This window comes from Homo sapiens, chromosome 5, assembly GCF_000001405.40.
Source record: "Homo sapiens chromosome 5, GRCh38.p14 Primary Assembly".
Classification (NCBI taxonomy): domain Eukaryota; kingdom Metazoa; phylum Chordata; class Mammalia; order Primates; family Hominidae; genus Homo; species Homo sapiens.
Genome location: NC_000005.10, coordinates 41900385 through 41926551, shown reverse-complemented (window position 1 = coordinate 41926551; position 26167 = coordinate 41900385). Strand labels below are relative to the sequence as shown.

Below are 26167 nucleotides of genomic sequence, written 5' to 3'. Positions count from 1 at the left end.
GCCCAGGCTGGAGTGCAGTGGCAAGATCTCGGCTCACTGCAAGCTCCGTCTCCCAGGTTCACGCCATGCTCCTGCCTCAGCCTCCCAAGTAGCTGGGACTACAGGCGCCTGCCACCAAGCCCGGCTAATTTTTTATATTTTTAGTAGAGACGGGGTTTCACCGTGTTAGCCAGGATGGTCTTGATCTCCTGACCTCGTGATCCGCCCACCTGGGTCTCCCAAAGTGCTGGGATTACAGGCGTGAGCCACCGCGCCCGGCCGTAAATTTGTCATCTTAGTTCCTCTACAGAATCTATTAAAATGTTATGAAAAACCTCTGCAAGGAGAAACTTGGAGGCATTCTAAACCTGCAGCTTTCACGTTGATATACACATTGGAGAGAGGTGTCAATAGTCCAAATGAGACAAAGAATTGTAATAATTTTCAATAATTTTTGTTCTCTTCATTTACCTATCTACCCCAAAGTTTAACAATAAGTTATGTGTGTCATTCTCGTGGCCTTGATGTAACTTGAGGCACTTGTAACTTAAGTCATTTATTTTCAACTGAGGGGCCGTTTTGTTTCTTCAAATACACAATAACAGCCACAGGCACAATGTCCTCTTGAGAGGGTAAAAACCTTGGCCCTCCAAGTGTTTTGGTACAGTGATCCGGAATCAAAGACGCTGGGAACAGGGACGCTGGAATGCTTTCCCAAGCTAATCAGCAAGTTGGGAACTGTCTCATTTCCGTAACCGGACATTCAGGGTGTCCTAGTCACATGTGCCTGTTTTGGCGGGTGGAAAACCTGAGGGCGATCGGGAGGGTCCCCAGGGGCCCCATGAAGGTGCTTCCCTGAGATGTTCGGGCCCCCTGCGGAGCACCAGGGTCCACGCCAAGACGCTTCTGATCAACTGTAGCTTCTCGGTGACTACACTGCCAGGAATGGCTGCATGGACGGAGCCAGACCCAGGCCGGGGCGCGAGAGTTCCCCAGGCCCCGGGGGGCTCCAGGGGAGGTCCCTCCGGCCCGGGCCGGCCCCACTGTCCTCCGCGGCCTGCGGCCGACGCTCACCGGCAGCCGCGTCAGGGTGCTGGCCGCCTCATCCACCTCCTCCCGTGAGGTCGTACGCGCCACCCTCTCCTTGCTCACTGACTGCCAGAAGGTCTTCCAGCCGCTGAGGATGGCCGCCTCCAGGCGGCCCCAGTCGCTGAAGGGCGGCGGCGGCGAGTTTGTTCCGCTGCGCGGCTCGCTTCCCGCCATGGCTTGCCCGCAGCGTGGGTGACGCGTCTTAGAGCCACGCTAGCGCGTCAGCCTCCTGCGCAGCTCCGCGCCAGCCGAGGGCGCCCTCGGGCGTTCCGCCTCCCGCTTCTCCCGCGAGTCCGCCTCCAGGGCAGGGTTAGGCCCAGGGGCAAGGGCGGGTACTGGGAGGAAGCCCACTGTGCGTGGCTGTGAGCCGAGTACGAAGCTCCTGTCAACAATTAACTTCCCCAGTAACTTGTGGCCTCAACCTCAGCCACGCCAACCGCAGAGCCCCTGTACAACCTCTGGCCCGCTGACTTCCTGGCTTCATTCAAGATGTTCTCTCCGGGATCATTTCCACTATGCCTGGTCCTAGGCGACTCCGCTTGTTCGATAGACCTCTGCCACTGTCTTGGGCTTAATAACCACTTGCTTCCTTTTCAGCACTACCATACTACGTATGGGGTGTTTTTTGTGTGTGTTATTTCCTCAATCACCAAGTTACCATTTATTTTCTTGAGTATCAGCAAAAACAGACTAGAGAGGCAGTCAGCGGGCCAATTACAAAGAACCTTTTGCCAAAATGAGAAGTCTGGACCCACTATGCAAAAATATAAGCACATTTAAAATTTGCAAGGGCGGCAAAAAACGGCTAGAAGAACCCAGATGTGGTGGTGTTGAAATCCCACTAGTGAGTTTTTTAATTCTCAAACCAGATGCCCATTCTACTTACTTTGGGCTTACTTTAAAAGTGCTTTAAGAGAACGTATTACAAGTTAATCTGTTACATAGAACTGGGTATGTATACATTCAAAAAGTAAATCTCTGAGGATCTAAATGTCAACAGAATCCAAGAAAGCCTGATAACTAAGGTTCTGCAAGGCTCTGTAACATACAAGTTTAAGTTTCATTACATTTTATTATTTGCATGTTGTTGGTAGGGGCCAATAACCAATAAAATTGCAGCCTCGTTTTTGGGAGGCAATCTGGACAAGGACCACGGATTAACCATATGGCATTTCTCATCACTTTCTAGGACACGATTTACTTTGAGAGCAAAAAACGAACTAGAGCAAGAAAAAAAATCAGTTCAAGTATAAAGTATTAAAATGATATCTGTTAAATGAATGAGAAAAACTTTATTACGGAAAATTTTGAACATTTATAAAAGGAGAGTGAATAATATGCTCCTGTGTGCCCAGTATCCAAGATTCCATTACCAACACCTGGTTAATCTTGTGCTGTTGCTATACTCACCTAATACTACACCCCCAATTCTGGATCCTTTTGAAACAAATCCCAGACCTATCATCTGTAAATATCTCAGTATCCGTCCCTAAAAAAAACAGATTTTAAGAAACAGACCACTGTACCTAAGCAATTTTAATTCATTAAAATCACCAAATACCGAGTCAGTGTTTAACTTCCCCATCTGCTTTGAAAATAATTTTTCACATTTGATTTGTTTGAATCATAGCCCAACAAGGGTCACACATTACGGATACTCTTAAAGCTTAAGTTTCATTGTATAGCTCCCCCTCCTTTATTTTCCCTTGATATTTGTTAAAGAAAGCAGGTTGGTCTTTCTGGACCACTCTGGACTTTCTTTTTTCTATATTCTTCTTCTTCTTTTTTTTTTTTTTTTGTTAGTAGAGATGGAGTTTCACCATGTTTTCCAGGCTGGTCTCGACCTCCCAGGCTCAAGTGATCCTCCTGCTGTGGCCTTCCAAAGTGCTAGGATTACAAGTGTGACCCACTGAACACGGCCTGCACACTATTAATGGCATCTCAATAGTGTCTTTAACACATTCGTAAATGGTATTATATACTGAGACTGAAAGCTACAAGTCATTCTCATTTTCTAATGTTCGGAGTGATCAGTGGTTTCACTGGGCTGATCCATTCAAATTTCCTGTAAGTTTTTCACCTCAAAGATAGAGCATTTATCAATGAATATTATTTGCTTACAAGTTATAAAATGTTAGTATTCTAGTTCTATAATTCCTTTTATTAGCTGAATTAAAGAAAAATTTTCCGTCAGTCATTTGATTGTCCTGCTCAAGCCAGAATTAGCTATATTTCCAGAAAACTCTGGCTCATTTTGACGGGAATGGTATTTGAACATGGTTTCCAGGCCTTTCTAGTGTCTTTTATATAGAGAAAACATAACTTCGTGTTATTTCCCATTCAAATTTAGGATTACAGATTGTTTTTACTCTTTGATTTTGTATGTATCTTTTCTCATACACTAAAAATCCTCATTTCTAATTATATTAACATAGTTATGATTAACAATTTAATTACTGAAGAGTTTAAGATTTCTTCACATTTCTTTTTGCCCTTGGATATATCCCATTAAGAATGGACATACAAATTACTATGCTTTAAAGATAACTGAAACATACCTGTGTATTCAAGCCATCAACTTGATATGCAATGCAGGTCGTCTGTTTCATTTTGCTTTGGACTTGTAGGGCTTTTCTTAACTTTGCTTAAATCTCGTTTTAGAATAACATATGTACCAAAGTCAAATGTTGAAAATTCAAGATATATTCTGAGAAATCTAGCTTCCATCCTGGTCCTTTCCATCTGGTTCCTCTCCTCCTGCCTCCACCATAAGTAACCATTTTTTAAAGTTTTGGTTATGGGTCCATTGTTTCTTTTTTTTAACTACACACACACACGCACTTTTATATTCCCTTTCTTAAATATGATACATACACACACACACACACACACATATATATATATACCTTCTCCATTTTGTTTTTACTTAATAAGACCACTCTGTAGCGTTAAACAGAAATATACCTCATGGATTTTTACAGGTACATACTACTCAATCATGTGGCTATACAAGGATTTAGAATAACCTATTTTTAAGTATAGTATTTAAATTTAAATAACCAGTATTTCATTGAATGCTTCTGACTTGTGAGTTAAGAATTAGACCAAAAGGTATCAGAAGCCAAGGCAATCAGGCTGATTAAAAAATCCAGTTTTAAATAGGATATGTATAACATATTTAGATGACTAGTACATCTCAATACAGTGGGTTTTATATATATTTTGAGGGAGGGCTGAAAATGTTTTGAAAATTAATTGGATGTTTTCTTCCAGTCATATCCACAAAAAACATTTGAGATGCCTATCCAAGTCCTGATTTCTTCTCTGAAGTCTGCTTCCCACCTAGAAAGACCGGCATGACTTGAACTAAGGAAAAGGCAGTGCTTTCCTGGCCAACAAGTTTGTCATTCAATTGTCTGGCTAATGAGTCAGCATGCTAAATGAGGTATGCCTATATACAGAACTAGACATTAAGGGAAACAGTCTAGAAATAGCTAATTCTCTTGTGCTCTTATATACTACACACTGAACTAAAGCACTCTGAATATTAACTTATTTATCTTCAATATCCTTGAGGTAGGTACTATTACTGCCTTAAAAATAAGATAAGGCAGCACAGGAAGATTAAATAACTTAAAGAGAGTCACACAGTTAGTATTATAAATGGCAGGGCTATGATTAAACTCAGGCCTTCTGGCTCCAGAGCTCAGAATCCTAACCACTATATTACCCCATCTTTAAAAGTTATTAGGACCAGAAGAAATAACATTCAGAAGTTAAAATAGTAAACTGAGATGATAAAAGTTTTAATTCTGATGCAACAGCCAAATATAAAACAAGCAACAAGTAGGGGTGTATGGTTTTATTTTTTTAAAAATGTATATGCTCAATAACAGTTTACTTGGAAATTTTCACTAGAAGAAATAACATGAAAGAACACCAGCATAAATACATAATACATACTTTAATTGTGGCTATATTAAATGTATCTTAATGTAATACCGCTGTAACATGGTATCATCTCATTGTTAAAAATTAAAAAAAAAAAAAGAACATAGGGAAGTGAAACTAAAAAACTATAGAATCCTGGATTCTGTGGCAGATGGAGTACCCTTATTTAAGCTAGAAAAGGAGCCCTGTAAGGTAGAAAGAGAAAAGAGGCAAGCAATCTGAAACCATCATGTTAACCAACTGTGAGTTTTTAAAAATGTGGTTAAAATGAATCTAAGAATGCCTTTTAACACAGCTCACACTTTAATGAACACCAGAGAATTCACAGCAAGACTGTAAAGCTAGGAATGTAAAGTTATTGTGGGGTTTTAGCCACGACCCTCACCTCACTCTACTATATGCAAAAGAAGAAAGAAAAGTCTTTAGTCATGATTTGCACCTTAATCAGCATCAATTATTCTCAGCAGCCCAAAACCCTATAAATGCAGCAGAGCACACAGGTCTTTAACTAAGTCTAAAAGCCTAGTTAACATCAAAAAAATTCATATTGGGAAAGAGCCATACACATTTAACGACTGTGAAAAGTCCTTTAACAGAGTTTTGGTAACCATGAGAGAATTCAAACCGAAGAGAAACCCCAAGTGTAAAAAATGCAACAAGGCCTTTAGGTATCACTCAACCATTAGCAAAATCCATAGGGGAGAGAAACCTTTTATGTGTAGCTGAAATGATAAAGTCTTAAGTAGTGACCCATTCCTTAATTCAATATCAGAACTTCTGTAAGAAAGAAACTTTATCAATGTGCGGAATACGCAAGGTATATAACCAAAGGAGAGAAATTTGAAGACACAAATGCTAAAGCAGTAGACAGTTCCCAACCACCCCTAAATATGATGGCATCCCACCCCTCTCCCTATCACACTAGCCCCTTACCCTCATTTATTCTTCTTCATGGTACTCATCACTTGACACTCTCTATACATTTATTACTTAAAATGCTTGTCTAACTTCCTCCACTAGAATATAAGCTCTGAAACAGGAGGGGGTTTTAAAAAGCTATATCCTCAGGGTCTAGGATAAAATCTGGCATATGGTAGGCATACAATAGTTGAGTGAATTTAGTGTAGTACTTTCCTTATGTGGGGTATTTGGTACCTTGAGGTTACTTCATTCTAAGTGAATGATTTAGCAGGCTTTAACATATATAAAAATGTGTTCATTATTCTATAATACACCAGAGTAAAAAGCATTTTAACTGCCATGGTCTACAAATTATTCTCCAACTGTGTGGGGGATGGAAAGTTGTATAAAAAGCACCCAGTACTACCCTCATAATTGTACCAACCAGTGAGACCAAGTGGTCTACCAGGGTCACGAAGGTAAAATGAAGTTTCCAACTTCTTAAGAGAAAGTTCTCTTTTCTCAGGTTCAGAATCTAAACACTTTACTCCTCTCAGGATGGCATATATCCCTATATGCCTTGTCAGCCACTGGTATAGAGGGCATAGCAGTTTGGAATCCAATAGCAACAACTTTTTGTGCAAAGTTTGGCATTTAGAATCATGCCTCATTAATTCAAAAACATTACTAAGGGCCTACCATGCATTAAGCACTATGTATACAGGTAAATTTTTAAAATATGGAGTTTACCAACAATAAAGAAAATAATTACAAAGCAGTGTGATCAGTGCGACAACATGGGAGGGGAAGAGTAAAGGACCAGAACAAAGGAGCATCTAATTTGACTGAAAAGGGCTTTAAAAAGCCTATGAAAACAGAATCACTGAAGCTGAGTCCTAAGAGGTAGGTAGGTATTCACTTGGTCACAAAGAAGGATGCAGAAGTAATGATGTGTGCAAGGCTACTGAGGTGGAAAACACACAAAGCGCATTTAGGGAAGAAGTGGAAGTACTTGCAATTGATCAGGATGCTCTAAAAAGAGGGATAGTCTGTGGTTCTAAAAACCGTATTAAAAATAATTTAAATCTTTATACTTAGAAAGCACAAAGGTATTTTCATAAGAAAACTTGCTAAAATGCTAAGTTAAATAAAAATCTTAGCTGTGTAATGATAAACAAGGGGGCTGGGGCAGGAACTGAGAAATTCCCTTTGCCACAGAGGCTCTATATCAGAATTTGTATGTTTACCAAAAGCAGCCTGGATTTTAACTGTTTGAGCAACACTGGACTAGAACATGATTACACAGGATGACTGCAGAGACATGGCTGGGAAGGTAGTCATTCTGTGTTGCCCTGATCTGCGGAAAATCCCAAAAAGAGAAAACTTACAAAGCAGAAAGGATTTTATATAACAGATGAGGACTTGACGTTTGGAAACACTGAGCTTAAAATTACTGTGGGATGTCTAATGAAGATATTTGATAGACAGTTAGAAACAAGGTTTAGAAAGCAAGAGATAAGTCAGGATACAAGTTACAGGTTTGAGACTCAGTCTGTTATTACAGGTGGTAAAAGAAGCCATAGTTATGAATGACATTGTATAAAATATGTAAAGTAAAAAAAAAAAAGAGAGAGAGAGAAAAAAATATAGTGAAGATCAATACCTAAAAGGTAGGCAGAAAGTGAGACAACACTTTGTGGGGAAATGAGAGAGACAGCGAAGATGAAACCAACATGTAGCACAGAGTCGCCTTTGATAGGAAGCAGGCAACCTCTTTTCCTCTAAAATGGGAAAATGAGTAAAGTTGGTAAATACAAGTTGACCTCTTCATAGTCTCAATTTTCTGTTCAATAGGAGAAAGAGCCATATGCTAGGGGAGGGGCAGAGGGCCTAAGGAAAGTAATGAAGTTTGGCTCAGCCACAGCGGGAAATGGGAGAGAGGCCACCCTAGTAACAAACATAAGGTTTACATTGAGGGCTTTTCTAAGGCTGAAGTGAGACACTTGTAGTGATTCTACTTTGAAGGACTACCCATCACAAAGAACTCAGCATCCCCGAAAAGGTAGATAATAAATAGGATTAATCTGAGGTTGAGGGCTTGCCAAAGGACTAGACTAAAAGACCAGGGAAAGAAGAATAACTGGTGAGATTAGTTCATATAGTATCCCATAAAGCTGAGGGTGGATAGGGAAGAAAGCCTGAAAGGGGCTGACAGTTTAGGAGGAAGGGGAGCAGTCAAGAAAAGGGGGTAAGAAGGAACTGAAGAATGTGGAATGAGCATAAAGGAGAGAAAAGTCAATAAAATAAGGAAGTGAAAAAACTGAAAAGAGGGCAGTTATCAGTTACTGAAATTTTACCAGAAAGAGAAACTCAAGGTGGTGACATTCAAAGTGCGGCCACGGGAGTAAGCTGCTGGAATGTAATAAAGTCACTGGGCAGAAGTCCAAGGTATCAGCAAGGTATCAGAAAGATCATCCAAAGATGACAACAGGAGTTGAGGTAGACAGAAAGACCATGAGCAAGATATCAAGTTAGGCTCTCTGGCCTTTAACACTCACCCCTATTATTAAAGGCAAAAAACATTAAAATTTCAGTATGTTATGAAAAGATGTGCTACAAAAACATATGAACTAATGGTAGACTAACCTAGCTTGGTTTTTATCTTCATTACTCACTTGAAAAGCCATGCATTGTCTTTTAAACAAAATAGAAAAATAATTTTTAAATTTTTATAAAATGCCTAAGGGAAGTAGAAATTTTAAATACAATTAGTAATACATGGCAAAATAATTAAACACAATGATTCCTTTGTGAGATCTTTCATTATTTACCTTATTGAAAATGGAATCTGAATATTAGTCATAATCTTTCATTTTGCCTACATTTATATCCATAGTATGTATTCAAAGCAGTGAAGTAACTTGACTTTAATTTCTGAAGCATGGCAAACTTCAAGGTAGTGAGATTTAAAAATAATCTAAAGATGATAAAAATGGTAAACTTGTGTTACATATACCACAATAAAAAAAAAAAGTAATAGAAAAAATCTTTGTAAAGCTAAATTGGGTTACTACTCATTATTAGTGACATAACATCTGTATTTTAAGGTGAGTTTGAACAACACTTTAGAAATTAAAGAATCATCCCTTCATAGGTTTACTAATATATAATGAAAAAGATGGTGATGTTGTTTTAGTAGGGTACCCAAGCTGGATATCTTTATGCAGTGTAATGTTCTCATATTCAGTATCAACAGGTCTTCTTTTTTGGAACTCTCTTTTCCATTTCATGGGTTTTGTTGTTTTTCTATTTGAAAAGGACTAGATGAACTTACTAGTTACAGCGATGATGAAAGAAGTTTAAAATTTGTTTTGCATTCGTTGTATTCCATTCTTGTTCTTTCAGGGGTCCTTCACACACAGATACATACTTTTTCAAGATTTTTTCTCCTACTTCTCGGAAATCCAAGGGTTCCTTGTATGTAGTGCAGCCCGCTCCAGACACACTAGTATCCACTTCATGATTTTCTGGTTGCTGATCAGCACAATACTTCGATCCCCAGTAACACATTTCTCCACTGTACATCATAGCCAGCAGATGAATGTCACTAAATATTCCTGGGAAAGTCATTTAGGTTGACAGATTAGAATTAAAAGCTTAAAAAGAAACCGTAGTTATTAACTAAACTCTAATTAAAGTTCCTTTTGTCATTAAGCATTTTCTATTCTCACTTTAACAGTAACACAAAAGCCAAATATGACTAACACAATCTTCATTTAATTAGCATTTTTTAATATCGATTTTACTGATAAAGGAGGCCCATTACAAAAAGAAAAACAGAGTACCAGAGAATTTTTTTAGAGAACCATTTAGGTGTTTTTGACCTTTTTGGGGTCCACTCTATAACTTCTTTGAGAATCTAATTTAAGGAATAGAACTTCTCCCAGAATATACACCCCAAATTCTGCAGTCAATTTCAGAGTACTTATAAACTCCCTGAATTACATCCATGGACACACCCTTTATTTTGGGGTATGCTCTAGGATAATTCATATAGCTAAAGTCAAGTATCCTAGACCTCTTATATTCTCTAAAAGTCTAAGAAATTATCATGCATAATCATGCCTGAGAGTCCATACAATTTTAAATTATTAAAGGTGTTATTTCCAAGATGCTTTGTATTACCAGAAAAAAAGAGAGTATGCTGCAGAATTTTCATCAAAAGTTGAACTCTTTCTTCTTATGGGTAGTTTTTCCAGTAGGCAATTATATAATTAAATATTTATGGTGCATAAAGTATATTAATTTGGCAGAAAGACAAATAAACCTAGAATAAAAAAGATCTGGGTATAAATTACTGGCTTTGTGTCTTTGGGCAAGTCACCAAAGCTCTTTGAATCTCAGGTTTTAAATCTGAAAAATAAGGAGTTTGCATCCCCTACTTAATTCCTGAATTTTCCTAAAGAACATAAAAGAAATAAAAATGTAACTTCTTAAAGCCATTGAAGAAAAAATAAATGATGGATTCTAATGTGCTTCTGTGATTAGAAAAGATTACTTCAAATAAATGAGCATCACAATGTCTGTTGTTCACCTAATATGATTCAACAAAAGTGACTATGATGGCACTGGATATGAAAAATTCAACTTTCAAAATAGTGGTAGTTTCTGTTTGAATCTATTGCAAGCTTTTTAAAGTATCAAAATTTGTTCCTACAGTTTTCACCTTCACTTCACCTCAATTTCTGCTTATAAAGAGTAGCAAGAGAAACAACAGGCTCAGCAGAATAGCTGAATGAATGGTGATATGGTTTGGCTCTGTGTCCCCATCCAAATCTCATCTTGAATTGTACCCTCATAATTCCCATGTGTTGTGGGAGGGACCCAGTGGGAGATAACTGAATCATGGAGGCGGTTTCCCCCATACTGTTCTTGTGGTAATGAATAAGTCTCAAGAGATCTAATAGTTTTATAAGGGGTTTCCGCTTTCACTTCTCTCTCCTTCTCTCTTGCCACCGCCATGTAAGAAGTGCCTTCTGCCTTCTGCCATGATTATGAGGCCTCCCAGCAACGAGGAACTGTGAGTCCATTAAACCTATTTTTTCTTCCCAGTCTTGGGTATGTCTTTATTGGCAGCATGAAAACGGACTAATACAAATGGCTATATGATAAATAGTGGTTCTCAAACTTTTGCCTTCAGAACTTATTCCTTCTTTCTAACTGTATGTTTGTACCCATTAACCCAACCTCTCTTCATCACACTCCTCCCACTCATACAACCTTTTGTGATACCAGCTCTGATTTGTAGGGGTGGGAGGCTCCTCAGTGGTATTAAGGGCATAAACAAAGGGTGTAAAAGTTGGACAGTTTTTTATTTACCTCCATGTGATTCCAGGTTTATTCTGACAATGCAATTTTTATAACCCTTTTATCTGATAAGGCCATGTCCAAAGATTAAAATTCTCTGGCCCCATTTCACAGAAGAATGAGACTCAGAGGTGAGATACAAGGGCTTACTGCATAAAATTTAATGATATACAGATAATGTCTAAACAACAATATGATTATCTTACCTTAGAAAAAGTAACAAAAACCATACACAGTTTTGAGTTTTATCTAAAATTAGGTAAATTATCACCAAGATCTAGCCACAGAAAATTTGATGTCTCATATAGAACTTTTCTCCCTAAATGCTAAGAATTACTCAGAATTGTATTTTATATGGACTAACAAAAAATAATTTGAGCCTCTCAAATTAGGACTTAGGAGTAATTCAGCCTATGAAAAGTAGGTTTCCTGGCTTCTAATCTAATCGTGTTCAGATAGATACATTTGGGCAAAGCAGCCTTTTTTTCTTTTTTCTCAGACAGGGTCTCACTCTGTTACCCAGGCTAGAGTGCAGCTGTGCGATCAGGGCTCACTGCAGCCTCAAACTCCTGGGCTCAACTGATTCTCCAACCTCAGCCTGCCATGTAGCTGGAACTACAGTCATGCACCACCACGCCTGGCTAATTTTTTTTTTTTTTTTTAGTTTTTGCAGAGATGATGTCTCACTATGTCTTGAACTCCTGGCGCCAGTTTTCTCAAGTGATCATCCTGCCTTGGCCTCCTAAAGGAGGCAAACTTATGTTTGTTTTGTTTTGTTTTGTTTTGTTTTGTTTTGTTTTGTTTTGTTTGAGACAGAGTCTGGCTCTATCCCCCAGGCTGGAATGCAGTGGTGAGATCTTGGTTCACTGCAACCTCCGCCTCCTAGGTTCAAGCGCAAACTTCTTTAGATGAGAACAAAAGGCCGACACCCTAAGAGGACTTAGGACAGTATGTAGCAAACTGCTATGGTGCCTATACTGTGTCTTTTTGCCTGGAAAATGCTACCCTATCTGACCCTTTTAATTCCCTTGTTGAAGAACCAACTGAAACTAGGAGCTAGTAAATTCAAAGTATGACAAAGAGACGCCACCAATATTACATGCTTCCTGAAGAAAAAACTCCAGGTTATGAGAATGTCTTACTTTATAACTGGAAATGGGAGAATTAGGAAAACAGGTGATTTGTGCCACTCCCTTTGGTTCTAAATGAGCTGTAGTGCCTACCCCCACCTTTTTCTTTTAAAGTGTCCCACATTAAGAATTCAATTTAATCAGTCCATGTGTATAAATAGAAATTTTTTAAAAGCCATTTTCAATGCCTCTGATTGGTTCCTAGTTATCTGAAATAACTAATAACTAGTATATACTTGCCATAATTACATCAAATATCCTATGTTTGTCAAAATGTCATGCCCACTGAGGGAGCTTTTTGTATTCACAATAAGTTGTTTTAGAATAAAATATTTGTCTAAATGAGCAGAAAGTAATAATTTTTGGCCATCAGGTCACTTAAATCACTATTTTTTTTCTATGAAATGCTTTCAAATAGAACAATCCAGGAGAGGCTAACAAAGAAACAGGAAGAATTAAAACATATTTAATATACTAGAATATTTCCAAAGAGGTACTCTAATTATTCTTCACATTTCATTTTTTTCCCATCAAAACTTCAGATGAAGTATAAAAAGGTTTACACATGTGATCTAATGTTACTTGCAGCTATATGACCTTGAACAATTCACTTGCATTTACCTGGATCTCAGTTCTTCCATTTATAAGGAGATGGTAAAAGTAAGTGGTTCTTCTCTCCTCACACACAAGTCTAAAACCCAGATGATGCTCTATATTCAGTTCCTAGAATTTTCAAGTACACAGACGCTTGTGGCAGAAATTTATAGTTGCCAACCAGTATTCATTCTCCCCAATACCCCCTTCTTAGTAAAGAATCTTAATTTTATTTGGGATGGCAATGTATCAGGTTAAGGACTATACTTCCCAGGTTTCCTTATAGCTAAGTAAAGTAATCTGATTAAATTCTGGCCAGTGAAATGGAGGTTGTAAGAAACTTCTGAGAATGATGGTCTAAAGGAACAGACTTGGCTGAAATTCCCTTTTGCCATTCCTGTAGCCTGAAACACAGGTGAGATTGAAGGAGCTCCAGGAACATCTTGGGATACTGAGAATAAAAGCAATGTCCTAAACAGAGATGCATGCTGCACAGTCTGGAAAGTATCATTTATATTATGTTCTATATAAAGTGCCTCCCCATGAAGAGGGGGTCTGGTTTTAAAGAAGAATGGAGGAAAAAGGTAAGAACATGATGAGATGGAGCCACTGTACCAGCTCTGGACCTTTACTGTGCGAAAGATCACTAAATGTCTACCTTGTTGAAAAGTTACTTCCATTCGGTTACAAGTAGCCAAATCTAGTACTGATAATATGCTGACAGAGGCTTGATATGTTTGGCTCTGTGTCCCCACCCAAATCTCATCTTGAATCATAATCCCCAGGTGTTGAGGGAGGAAGCTGGTGGGAGGTGACGGGATCATGTGGGTGGTTTCCCTCATTCTGTTCTCGTGATAGTGAGTGAATTCTCATGAGATCTGATGGTTTTATAAATGATAGTTTTTCTTGCACTCACACATGCTCTGTCTCACCTGCTGCCATTTAAGACATGCCTGCTTCCCCTTCCACCATGATTGTAAGTTTCCTGACACCTTCCCAGCCATGTGGAACTGAGAGTCAATTAAACCTCTCTTGTTTATAAATTACCCAGTCTCAGGTAGTATCTTTATAGCAGTGTGAAAACAGACTAATTACAGGGCTGTGTGAGGATGCAAAATGAGCAGAAGGAACACAATACATAACTTCCAAAATTACTAAACACAAGGGATTAGAAATATTTTTCTGTATTACATCAAAAGATTTTATCTTTGAATTTTATATAAACCCTTTATTACTTATTACTTTTTTGTCTATAATCTACCTTGACATTTATTTAAATCAGAGTGAAATCTAACAAACTTCCTAAAATCTTAAGAAGCTTTAAAACACTTAGAAAATTTAATGAGAGATCACATTACCTGCACTCAGTAATTTAGCTGTGTCTAGATCTTGGAAAGAAACTCCTTCATTTAACTGGATAGGACATCGATAATTTAGCATCTGTAGCAAGTAACTGATTCCATCAAGAAGGTACTAAATAAAAGTCAGAGCCAAAGAATTGAAAGTATTATATGCAGAGATATATAAACTTCAAATACTAATATTTTCCATTCTTTACTCAAGAGAAAATTGGTTAATATATAGGCATAGCTTACAGCTATTCTATTTCAATGGTATAAAGACCCACCATCCCAAGACTCTGCTAATATAAATATACCCCTTGAAATGCTCTAGTAGTAAAAAAGAGTACTAAAAAAAAAGAAGACATTAACCAGAAACACATTTCAGTAATATACTTGTTAAAGATGTTATCAGAGGAAGAAAAGAATAAAGATAATAAAGATGTGCTCAACAACAATGTATTAAAAACATGTATGTGGTTATAATTTAGAAATATTATGATCAAACTTTTATATCTGCAAGTGTGGCCTCGCATTTCAAGCCCACCTAAATTGTGTGTACATTTAACCCAAGTTAGAATCCTTAGTGATACAATACCAAGACTCATATTTTGGATTTAATGATTCAGTCATAATGGTCAAGTGAATCAGAGGGCCACAATTTTCTAGAAGCAGGGTCATGTGAGTTCCTTAGAAGTGATCTGCTGACAGGCTCACAGTCAAGTGTTTCTTTCAGGACAAAAATTTTTTAAAAGTTTAGAAATTAATATAGTTTATCTTATATTTAAAACAATACAAATCCTTAAAAAAAGAACTTCGCAGATTACAAAGTGCTTTCACATGTTATCTGATTTAGTCTTCACAACAAGCCCAATTTATTTATGATTACCCAGCTAGTAAATAAAAGACACAGAATACAAACTCAGACCCTTTGATCCACTACTCTTAGTAGTACAACAAAGACAGCTTTTTGAAACCTCTAAATGTCAACAATGAAAAATGTGTAAGGAATGTCTTCTTACCTTTTTAAGCAAACTGGATTTTCTTAAGAGCCACTCTCTTCTTTTGGTAAGAGAATGACAATACATATACAGCAGGGCTCCTCGTCTCCAAGAGAGACATTCCAGTAGCTCATCCCCAAGCAAATTGCAGTGCTGAAACACACAAAAAAAGACATAGCTAAAAAGGGAAACTGGATGTCTATAAAAGTTGAAGTTAAATTTCAAAAACTCATCGATTAAAAACATTCTCAAGTCACAAAATGTTCCCTTTGTTTAGCTGCTTACACAGGGAGGCCTTATTTTCAATCAATTATAAATATGCAATTCTATTAATACATGAAAATTAAAATAACTTCAATTTACTAGTAGTTTTACAAAATAATTTAAAAAATATTTTTACTAGCAAATTCCCCTAACAGGTTTGCAATATAAGCAGTCATCATCTCATTAAAAAGGTAACTTTTCACAAATACATTACTTGAAGTGAGATCATATCTATTTCTACTACCGCTGGAATAAAATAATGAAAATTTACACCCAAAAATAATTTTAATAAATCAAAATTTTTAAAGTGGCTTGTCATTGAAATTTGGAGATGTTTCCACAGCCTCCCCTGATAAATAAATAGAGAAAAAAAATATATCTAAGTAAACAGTCAGCAGGCAGTTAAAGATGAGAAATTATTTGCTTCAAAGAGTATCCAGGACTAGATATACAAATCATAGGATTATCCAAATAGAGATGACAGTACAAAGCCTGTGAACAGGTTATCAAGCAAAGACAGAATAGAGACTATCGGTGATGAAAGAGACATCCCTGGCTAGTACCTGTGTTTCTAGAATGGAAGGCAGAACAGTTGCTAGCAAGAGAAGACATTTCAGAGATGAAGAAGTGGAAAAGAAGCATGCAGGGTCTCAGAGGGAGGGGGTGATCAACATTAAGAAGGGGAGCAAATGTTCGAGAGAATAAGGACTGTAAGAACAGACGTGGTAATTAGATTAATAGTGACCTTCAAGAAAACAGCATCTGCAAAAGTAAAGGGGGTCGAAATGGGAATATCTATATTAAAAAAAATGATTAGGCACAGCTATTACAATTCTATTATGCAAATATTCTGAAATACATTTAGTAAAATATGATACTTTTGTTGCAACATTGGTCTGAAGTGTTAAGCTCTTTTATCTCCCTCTTCCAATCTTAATTTAAGAAACAAAGATACAATCAAGAAGAAAAAAATATAGACTCCAAAAAGCAGGACAGCAAGTACCAGCAATATTCCATCATAATTAACAGGAATGTAAAACTTACTTTTGGATGCATATTATTTTCCTTTACTAAAATTTCTGGTTCTGAAAGAAAACTAATCAGCTCTTTTACTTTCTGTGAAGAAGAGTCTTCAGGAAAATCTTCATCTACTAGCTTGTTCTCCTCAAAATATGTCATGTCCAAAATAGCCTAAAAAAAAAAAAAAAGAAAGATATCTATCAATGACTTAAAATTGAAAAAAAACAATTCTTACAGTCTAACCTTGCACACATAGGTGCTTTATTACACATTTAAATCTTCTAGCTCAGTATGTAAATTTGAGAAGTAGGCAAAATGTCTAGATGTAAATATAATTTGAGAAAGATTTTAAAGAAAACTTCATAGGTATTTCACTAAAGTGCTGAATTAATGATAATCTTTCTTTCCCTCAAAAAAGAAAATAGAGCTTTGTTTTAATTTACAGAATTTAATCATATATAATTATGAAAAAGGTAATTATTATATTCTACTACTTATATAACCCCTGAAAATTTTCTAAATGCCTGCTGTATCAAGTTAAGGTCACTACTTCCAGTTTTGAACCTTCAAAGGATTTGTGTTCCCAAATACAGAGCCAGCGTGAGGGGCGTATGTATCCTGCCACCCAATAGAGGAAGCATACCATCAACATATGCAACTCAAACACTAAGCCCCCAGTATTCCTAATTATTAGAGATGCTGTTAAAGCATATTAAAACTCCCCAATCCTTTTTCCTTTTTTAATCTATTGAACTAAGACTAAGGAAACTGGGTTCTAGGGTCAGTTCTACCACTAATCACTTAACTAACCAAAGACAAGTCAATTTTACCTTTTTTGAGCCTCAGTTTCTTAATTGGCTAAATGATAAATTGGACTAAAATACCTTTCAAAGTTCCTTGTTGGAGTAAAAAATTAATTAACATATGTAAGGTACTAGAAACGTTACCTAGCACCCAGTTAGTGCTTTACTTTCTGTGAACATGAGGAGTAAATGTTATCGTGCGAAAGGCCTAAGCCAGTAAGGAGAGATCATCATATATGATTTCATCATCATATGAAAGGTGATCTGTTGATTCAGAACCATCAATAGGGTTTAAGAGGATCTTAAAATTGAAATCTGTATCTCTAGGTCTTTTGCCTTATTCCAGTAAGTTAAAATGTCTGGAACACTCTCGTGAAAAAAATGAGATGACATAAAACACATACAGACAAGCACAGAGTCTTCTGAACAGAAAGAAAACCAAGCAAAATACCTGCCAAACTTAAAACAGTTCTCTGTGGTTTGTGAGTAGCTGTTAGGCTTACTCATCCATGGTGTTTGAAGGCAGAAGCTATCTTTAGAAATTTCCTAACAGGAAGAACAGCACCAAGCATTTAAATGCTATAAATGGGCACTTTGGAAGCCTAACTAAGTGTACTGTACTTTCTGTAACCACTTCAGTTTTATTATCCCTTAGCAATCCAAAAAGGGCACATGAAAACACTCTATCAACTACAAAGTGCTATATAGATGTTAGTTACCATAATAAAATTACATTTCTTGATGTTAGCATGCCTCAGCAGTGTTTCAGAAAACCAAGAAAAAAAGGTGTTGTCCACACAGCAGCCTGATTTGGAAAGGAAAGTTAAAAAAAAAAGTGGGTGAATAGAAAAATCACATAGATATGCATGACACTAGCAGGGAGAATAATATTGAGAATCCTAGGGAAGGTAAATTTCAGGGGAAAAAAAAAAAGTCAGGGCCCTTATATACTCCCCTGCTCCCTCTGAAACTTTCAAGAGATTGGACATTGCACACACTAGTGTCCTGTTCAATTATCTCTAAAGGAAAACAATTCCGTTATCTGTAAGATTTTCTTCCTGACTTTTCTTATTAACACATCTAATAAATCTTACTTCTTTTCATACTACCTCAAAGTTTTAAGTTTTTGTGTTTTATTCATAGTTTTTTGGACAAAATTAAACACTTGAAATATAGAATAAACTGATTTCATTTTACCTAAAGTTGGAGTCAATCATCTAAATAAACAACCTGCCCTCATAAAATGCCAGAGTCCACCACTCTTTCAGTACCTGTGTGTAAAGTTCTAGAAGATTTGATGGATTTGAACATTCTTTCTCTTCTCCACACAGGAGTTTCAATTTTTCTAATGCTGCAGAGGCCCGAATTAAAAAGTGATCTATAAGAAATAAAAACATGAGGATTACTTCACCTAGTTTCAGAGTGTTATTTAAACAAAAAACACATTATGTATGAAGATGAAATGACAAGATGAAATAATATTATGACATATGGAGAAACAGAATTATAGTAATAATATCTTATCTAAAACATGAAATATCTCATAATGCCTAATCCTAATTAAGTAAATTTATCATGAAAATTTTTCCTACAAAGCAAAATACTGAAAACTTTCTAGAGTCACTCTTGCCATTTCTTAAATGCAGTCTGTATTCTCATTATGCTTCTTTTATGATAATGCACTCAAAATAATTAAACAAATTTAAAACTTACTGGAATATACAAATAATATACATAAATATACAGAAAGGGCTTCCACTGAAAACTTAAGATTTCATAAATGTAGTTGCAAATGTTATTCAAAAGACCATGATTGACCAAATCAAATTCCTTACAAAATGCCAGCATTATGAGCAATTTTATAATTGTTTATATCTACTACAATTAAAATTACATAATACATCTGTGTATTTAATTCCTTTAAAAACTTAGAAACAAATTACCTCATTTCCTCAAAACCTGGAAGAAAAGGAACTAAATACTTCTAATAAGTCCTCTAATCACAATTCACCCTCCCTCCGCCTTCACCATCTCCTGATTTTTTTTCCCTTTCTCTAATGTCATAATCCCTTTGTTGCTTCTGTGATTTCACCTTTTCTTATGTGTCCACTTCAAGGTACTATCCACCCTTCTGCAGCACTTCATGAAGTCAAATTTAGATACACCCATAATCAAGACACTAAACTCTCTGAGTTTACCTCTCAGTGCTTCCCTTCTGAAACATAGTCTGATATTCTAAAATATATCCCTTTCTTCTTCATGGGCCAATGAACAGATAGTGTAGCATTTGGTGTAGGCCTACCTGATCCAGCCTCAGGAGTTACACAGATAAGGTGTTCATTGTTGGAGCAAAAGCACCATCAGGTTATGTCTGTTGGCAATCATGTGACTGCTGCCTTAAGTCTTCTCAGGTAAAGCCTGAGATTGCATTTTGACTGCTGTAAGATCCACTTTCACTTGAGTTGAAATCTACTTCTTAGCACTGTCCTTCCACCTCTCATTAGCCCAGAAGTGACATCCACACAATGTAGAAAAAGATTCTACTATAAACTGAAATTACATGGAATATGACATGCCTTAGGTGCTTCTTTAGAGAGTGTGTTGATATTTTGTTTAACTTGCAGGATTATTTTCAATGTAAAGATTTGCATTGAACTCACTAAACCATTGCTGAAAGAGTATGTCACATAAATTGATGACATAATTACTGTGGCAGGGGTGTGGTGGTGGCATAACTCACACTTTGGAAAAGCCCATAAAATGCAGTATTTTGACTAGAACTATTTAGTCAAAGTAATGACTGGCAAAGCAAAAGATGAAACTGATTCTTATATAATCTGTGGAAAAACTCCCTCATGACGTACTTCCATAGAGTAAACAGATTGTGCTTGTATGATGAGAAATAAATTAACAAAAATTGGCTAGAAATTTAAAGACGCATTCTTAGATGAAATAATGTCTGGCTGTATCTCATCTAATCTGAAGAAGACAATGGAAATCATCAAACCCTTATATCCTAGTATAAATATATACTCATTACATTAAAGAACAAAGTTTGAATGTATATTATTCTTGTTGCGTGGAAAAATAATGCCAAATTCAATTCAAGTACATGAAATCTTGTTTTAATTAAAGTTCATAAATCTTGTAATATTTTTAAGATTGAACTGATTTCCATGCTGATCAACGGCTCATAATGTGGACCACTAACATTGTCATTTTATTTTAGTAAATTTTCAGAAGTATAAAGCCTTCAAACAAGAATTCCATATATAGCACATGACTTTTATTTCCAGCTCTGATTCATTCCAGATTAAAGAACTCTTCCAAGGGAAATGAGAATGGCTTTTTAGTTCAGTGATAAGTGAATAAAAAACATTCTTTGGTCTCTTTGGACTGGTTCAAGTGAATCTGGAATTAGAGGTAACATAGATAACTTTCAAGTTAATAGCTCCTACTACCCAAGAATTATTCATGTGAATCCACAGACCAAAATATAAGTCGGCTTCAGGGTGGTCTGTAGGTCTTTAAAGAACACACTCCTGGCCTGGCACAGTGGCTCACGCCTGTAATCCCAGCACTTTGGGAAGCCAAAGCGGGTGGAATGCTTGAGCCCAGGAGTTCAGGACCAACCTGGATGACATGGTGAACCCCGTTTCTACAAAATATGCCAAAGTTAGCCGGGCGAGATGGTGTGCGCCTGTTGTCCCACTACTAGAGGGGCTCCAGCCTGAGCAACAGAATGATACTCTGCCTCTAAAAACAAAACAAAACAAAACACTCCTGATAAATGATAATCTGGCAAAAAATATTCACTGAAACTAAGGCATTTCATCATAGACCCTATTTAATAACAAATTCACCAACTATTCAATCGCTTAAGAAAATGTTCCACCACTGTTTTCCTATGAGTCCGATGATATGAGTCAGTCCACAGAATTTTAAAAACTATCTGTAGTAATTGCTCAAACTCAAAAAGGAATAATGTAGAACCTAAAGGCAGCTGAGACGTAATGAAAAGAATTGGACTTAAATTCAGAAGGTTGAGGCAATTCCCTAGCCCAGTTTTTCCTAACAGCTTAGACCTTTCCAAAACAAGTATGCCAATACTTAACAGAGCCCTTGTGAGAACTGGCATGATGTATGGGGCAGAATAGTCTACACACCAATGTAAAGCTCTTCTATAGAATGTTGTTTTGAATCCAAAACGTAAAACGCAAATTACAACGCAGCAATGAAAAAGTGGAACTGTTATACATGTCTTTTTATCTTTACAGGATGCAAACCACCATAACTAATTTGAGTGTTATCATTCATCTTAGCCATTTATTTAAACTTCTGTATTTTATTTAGATTCTGCCCTTCTTCCAATCGCTACCGAGACAGTTTACACCAGCACGGATCTAGACAGATTTTCCATGGGTTCTGAATAATGCGGTTTTCGAAGACAACGCCTTGGCATTGTGAGTTCTGGGAAGTGGGCAATCGATGGCGCAGAGGGGCTCAGAAGCGACAGACCTCGGGTAACCACCTGCGGCCTGGGACCCAAAGGAACACAGGCCTCAGCCTCTAGCCCTCACAGCCATCGAGCGCCAGTACCTTAGCGCCGTCTGCCCCGCCCGCCTCCCTCTCCTCCGCTCCCTCACCATCTTCACCGGCAGCTTCGCTAAGTTGCTGTATGTGGGCCTGAGCCAGATCCCCGAGCTCTTCCACTCGTCTCACCACACTAGAGACTGCGGCCGCCATGGCCACAATCGGCGGGTGCGCCCCGGTCACGTGACCGTGTTGGCCCGCAATCACCTGATCCCCCGGCACGGGCGGGGCCTAGGGCGGACCTCTCCTGGTTGGTGGGAGGAGACATCAGCTCCGGAAGAGGGCTGGCCCAGGCCGGCAAAGGTCTTTCCGGGTCATTTTTCCCTCCTGGACTTCCCTTCCCTCCCATAATCCTGAGCAGCAAGGAGACTAGGGGCGGGTGTGACGTTGAGACACGCCTCTCTCTAGCCCCCTCCTGTAAGCCAATAGGGAGCCAGCCGTGCCCCTCGGCTGACCCAATCGGAAGTCAGCTCTCTCCGCCTGCCTCTTGGAAGACAGCTTGGTGACGTCTGGCTGGCAGGATGCGGATTGTCGTCCGCACTCCCACTTCCCTGTCCGGCGCGGGAAGCACAGTCTGGAGGGCGGACGCGAGGGTCTGGAGAGAGGACTGTCAGTTTTGGCCTTGTAGTAAGGAGGTTGCTAAAATAAAGTGATTATAATCTCCTGGTCCTAAATGGAAACCCGACCGGCCCCCTGTGTAACACATCCAAGTCTCCAAGAGTTTGTTGTACATCTGGATGGGGAGCTCCAAACACTAGTGGAGTTGCCAGTCTACATGGTTGAATATTGCTTTTGTAAATCTGATTTTTAGCAGTCGAATTTATCTCTGACCTCCCTTGGAGTTCACATTTAAAGTACTTTAGACATCTTGCGTCCAGTGGTAGTAAATTCTGCGGCCACAAAACTATTTTCATTTTTCTTTCATCTCAAGACCTTCCCTTAAGGCGCTAATTGTGCATGAGGTTCATCCTCTCAATCGGGAGTTTCAAAGCACTCAGTCAGCAAGTCTAACTTCACTTTGCATTCTGTGAATGCTTTCTTGCCTCTGGTCAAACAAATCGTTAACTCTGTGTATTCATTTCTCAGTTTGACACACTATATCTTGAATAATCTCCATCCTATTGTTTCTCATGGAAGGTAGTTTTTTATATGTAATAGAAAAATACTAAAAATAGAGAAAAAGTGTATTGTGATTTATAAGTGATTGACCACAATGACTCTCTAACTGACCTTTGTAATACCAGTTTCTTCTGACAATTCACCCTAAATATAGAGGACAGGAATCATGTATTTTGTGTCCTTGGTGCCTCATACAGTGCCTGGCACATATGCACTCTTGTCAACAAGCAAGATGGCAAGGGGATATGATGTGGTCTGTGGGAGTAGACAATTATTCAATAGTGTGGGAATTGTAGGTGAGGAAAAAAAGAATCTAAGTATAAACAAGAAGTTGAGAGAAGGCTTTCTCAACAAGGGATGGAGAAGGTGGTAGTTGAAGAGGGGCAAGTGCTGGAAGGTAGGGTGGAGAATGATCGTATCTGTACACAAAGGGGGAAAAATAGGGAAATAGGGATAAATTCAAAATGAAAGTAGGGAGCCAGCAATGGATAGAGAAAAGAGCAGAAGGTTACACCTGATGCCTTCTGAATCTTCTACAAGATGTAGAACTAAATGAAGCCTTCAGAAGATTTTACTAAACTTTTCAAAAAATAATTTTCAAAAAATAATTAACCTTTGATTAGGAATTTTCAGTCTCCTAGAAAATGTGTAATTTACCATTCTTAAACTACTTAAAAGAATTACCTGGACATGTGGGCAACAGACAAAGGCACAGCTGAAATATTTTGACTGTGGATCTACAAATTATCTCTGCAGAAGTGTTTTACTCTCAGGTCCACTGTTCTTCTCAGGCTTTTATAAAAGACATCTTAGGATCTATGTAATCAGGTCATCCATTTTCTAGCCATGAGATTTGGGTCTGGGAGATCTTGCTCATGATTTCGAAGTGATCTTGGATCGCCATTTGAATCAAGGGTTCCTTTTTAAAATAAACATTTAGAGTCAAATATTCAAAAGGCCCTTTTATTACAACCACAGCTTTATCTGTTCCCTCTCCATAAATGTGGCTATTGAAAACATTTTAGGCCAGGTATAATGGCTCATGCCTGTAATCCCAGCACTTTGGGAGATGTAGGCAGGCAGATCACCTGAGGTCAGGGGTTCAAAACCAGCCTGGCCAACATAGTGAAACCCCTTCTCTACTAAAAATACAAAAAAATTAGCCAGGCATGGTGGCACATGACTGCAGTGACAGCTGCTCAGGAGGCTGAGGCAGGAGAATTGCTTGAACCCAGGAGGTGGCCATTTCAGTGAACCGAGATCGCACCACTGCACTCCTGTCTGGGTTACAGAGAGAGACTCTGTCCCAAAACATAAATAAATAAAAATAAAAAATAAAAACATTTTAGTGGAGTGTGTTTCCAATACTTCAAAGTCTTTTTCTTGTTTTCCTTTATGTTCTCTTTCCCTAGTTAATGTCGTGGTCAAATGTAGAAACTTCATGTTTGTTAATGCATTTTATTTAGTTCAAAGTTTAAGTGAACTGTAAAATATTGAAACATAATAAAATCACCCTTACCCCCATAACTTCTTCCTTGCCATCTTTGCTCAATCTCTCCAGACTCTGCTACATTTCTTCTGGCTCTATCAGGCTAAGCCAGTCTTGTCTGTTTGAACTACCAAGGAGCACTGAGTCCTGACGTTAAGACTCTTTCATATTTACCAGGCTCCTAATAAAGTATTTCTCTCTAGCTATGAGTGTGATTCTAATTTTTAGCCCTCTATGGTAAACACCAAGCTTTGTGACAAAAATGATACAAAAGGAGACACAACAAACAAATATCATGAATATATTTGCAAAAATCCTAACTAGAATATACTCAATTTAAAAGATGGGTAGGCCGGGCGCGGTGGCTCACGCCTGTAATCCCAGCACTTTGGGAGGCCGAGGCGGGCGGATCACGAGGTCAGGAGATCGAGACCATCCCGGCTAAAACGGTGAAACCCCGTCTCTACTAAAAATACAAAAAAATTAGCCGGGCGTAGTGGCGGGCGCCTGTAGTCCCAGCTACTTGGGAGGCTGAGGCAGGAGAATGGCGTGAACCCGGGAGGCGGAGCTTGCAGTGAGCCGAGATCCCGCCACTGCACTCCAGCCTGGGTGATAGAACGAGACTCCGTCTCAAAAAAAAAAAAAAAAAAAAAAAAAAAGATGGGTAATACCCAAAATCTTAAGCACTCAGTCTCATACACTGTTGTTAGGAATATACTTTTATACAAACTACTGAAGGATGAATTATGTATTAAAGCCTTTAAAAATAACTGATCCAGTTATTTATCCTAAGACAACAGCTGGAGAAGTGTGTAAAGCTCAATAAAACAAGGAGGTTCACCACAATTTTGTTCATAATTGTGAACATTTGGAAATAACACAGATATCTGTCAGAGGAGATTGATTCAATAAGTTTTGGTATATTTATGCAGCAGGATATGCTGTAGGCATTAAAAATTATGTTTTATCTCCATATCTATTGACAGATTAAGATTATCATAATTTCTTATTAAATAAAAATAAGTATAACAGTACACAGAGTAGAGCTTTAGTTTTGGTTTATATTTTTCTTTTTGTTTTTGTTGAGACAGAGTCTCACTCTGTCACCCAAGATGGAGTGCACTGGAGTGATCTTGGCTCTGCCTCCCAGGTCCAAGTGATCCCCCCACCTCAGCTCCTAAATTGTTGAGACTACAGGTGCATGCCACAATGCCTGGCTAAGTTTTGTGTTTTTTTGTAAATATGGGGTTTCGACATGTTGCCCAGGCTGGTCTCAAACTCCTGAGCTCAAGAGTTCCACCTGCCTCAGCCTACAAAAGTGTTGGGATTACAGGTGTGAGCCACGGTGCCAGACAAGCTTGTTTTAATCTGGGTTTATGAATCCAAAATTTGAGAGAATATTAATTATGAATAATAAACTCATACAATGGGTGCACATATAGATGACTTTTAATTTTTTAATTTTCTTTTATTTTTTACAAATGCTACACTAAGCATAAGTTAAAGTAGAACTTTTCTCCCTTCCCCC

At 37.9% G+C, this 26167-nt stretch overlaps 2 protein-coding genes and 1 pseudogene across 9 annotated transcripts in view, besides 5 other annotated features; 1 reads left to right on the top strand and 2 right to left on the bottom strand.

The window, feature by feature from the left end:
- The window catches only part of FBXO4 (F-box protein 4), a 115124-nt gene extending 113853 nt beyond the window's left edge, over positions 1–1271 (bottom strand). For 4 of the 5 annotated variants that reach the window (XM_011514026.4, NM_012176.3, NM_001297437.2 and 1 more), the window contains exon 1: positions 1054–1271. In XM_011514026.4, the coding sequence (XP_011512328.1) occupies positions 1054–1242 (189 nt within the window). In that variant the 5' untranslated portion in view covers positions 1243–1271. Of the gene's footprint in view, positions 1–450; positions 756–1053 lie in introns of those variants that run through there. The other variant, XM_011514027.3, reaches the window with a different exon arrangement.
- Positions 834–1013: a silencer, noted in NCBI's record as "silent region_15986". NCBI's record gives its function as "represses an Ori minimal core promoter by ATAC-STARR-seq in GM12878 lymphoblastoid cells {active_cell/tissue: GM12878}" and the evidence as "EXISTENCE:reporter gene assay evidence [ECO:0000049][PMID:35858748]".
- A 3644-nt stretch (positions 1272–4915) lies between the features above and the next one.
- Positions 4916–22208, bottom strand: RIMOC1 (RAB7A interacting MON1-CCZ1 complex subunit 1). Of its 4 annotated transcripts, XM_011514032.3 has the most exons (7): positions 22085–22208; positions 21072–21194; positions 18710–18816; positions 16660–16806; positions 15373–15504; positions 14369–14483; positions 4916–9536 (listed from the first exon to the last, which is right to left on the bottom strand). In XM_011514032.3, the coding sequence occupies exons 4-7, from the start codon at positions 16792–16794 to the stop codon at positions 9253–9255; spliced, it is 666 nt and encodes a 221-aa protein (XP_011512334.1). In that variant the 5' UTR covers positions 16795–16806; positions 18710–18816; positions 21072–21194; positions 22085–22208; the 3' UTR covers positions 4916–9252. The 4 variants fall into 4 exon arrangements, with proteins under 4 accessions (XP_011512334.1, NP_787117.3, XP_005248346.1 ...); NM_175921.6 differs by lacking the exon at positions 21072–21194; XM_047417114.1 differs by lacking the exons at positions 4916–9536; positions 21072–21194 and adding an exon at positions 10107–10246.
- Positions 5325–5829, top strand: LOC100419715 (zinc finger protein 626 pseudogene; annotated as a pseudogene).
- Positions 8046–8205: an enhancer, noted in NCBI's record as "active region_22510". NCBI's record gives its function as "activates an Ori minimal core promoter by ATAC-STARR-seq in GM12878 lymphoblastoid cells {active_cell/tissue: GM12878}" and the evidence as "EXISTENCE:reporter gene assay evidence [ECO:0000049][PMID:35858748]".
- Positions 21978–22524: an enhancer, noted in NCBI's record as "NANOG-H3K27ac-H3K4me1 hESC enhancer chr5:41904130-41904676 (GRCh37/hg19 assembly coordinates)". NCBI's record gives its function as "activates a minimal SCP1, AML or CMV promoter by ChIP-STARR-seq in naive H9 embryonic stem cells {active_cell/tissue: H9 hESC(naive)}" and the evidence as "EXISTENCE:reporter gene assay evidence [ECO:0000049][PMID:30033119]".
- Positions 22106–22225: an enhancer, noted in NCBI's record as "active region_22509". NCBI's record gives its function as "activates an Ori minimal core promoter by ATAC-STARR-seq in GM12878 lymphoblastoid cells {active_cell/tissue: GM12878}" and the evidence as "EXISTENCE:reporter gene assay evidence [ECO:0000049][PMID:35858748]".
- Positions 22636–22775: an enhancer, noted in NCBI's record as "active region_22508". NCBI's record gives its function as "activates an Ori minimal core promoter by ATAC-STARR-seq in GM12878 lymphoblastoid cells {active_cell/tissue: GM12878}" and the evidence as "EXISTENCE:reporter gene assay evidence [ECO:0000049][PMID:35858748]".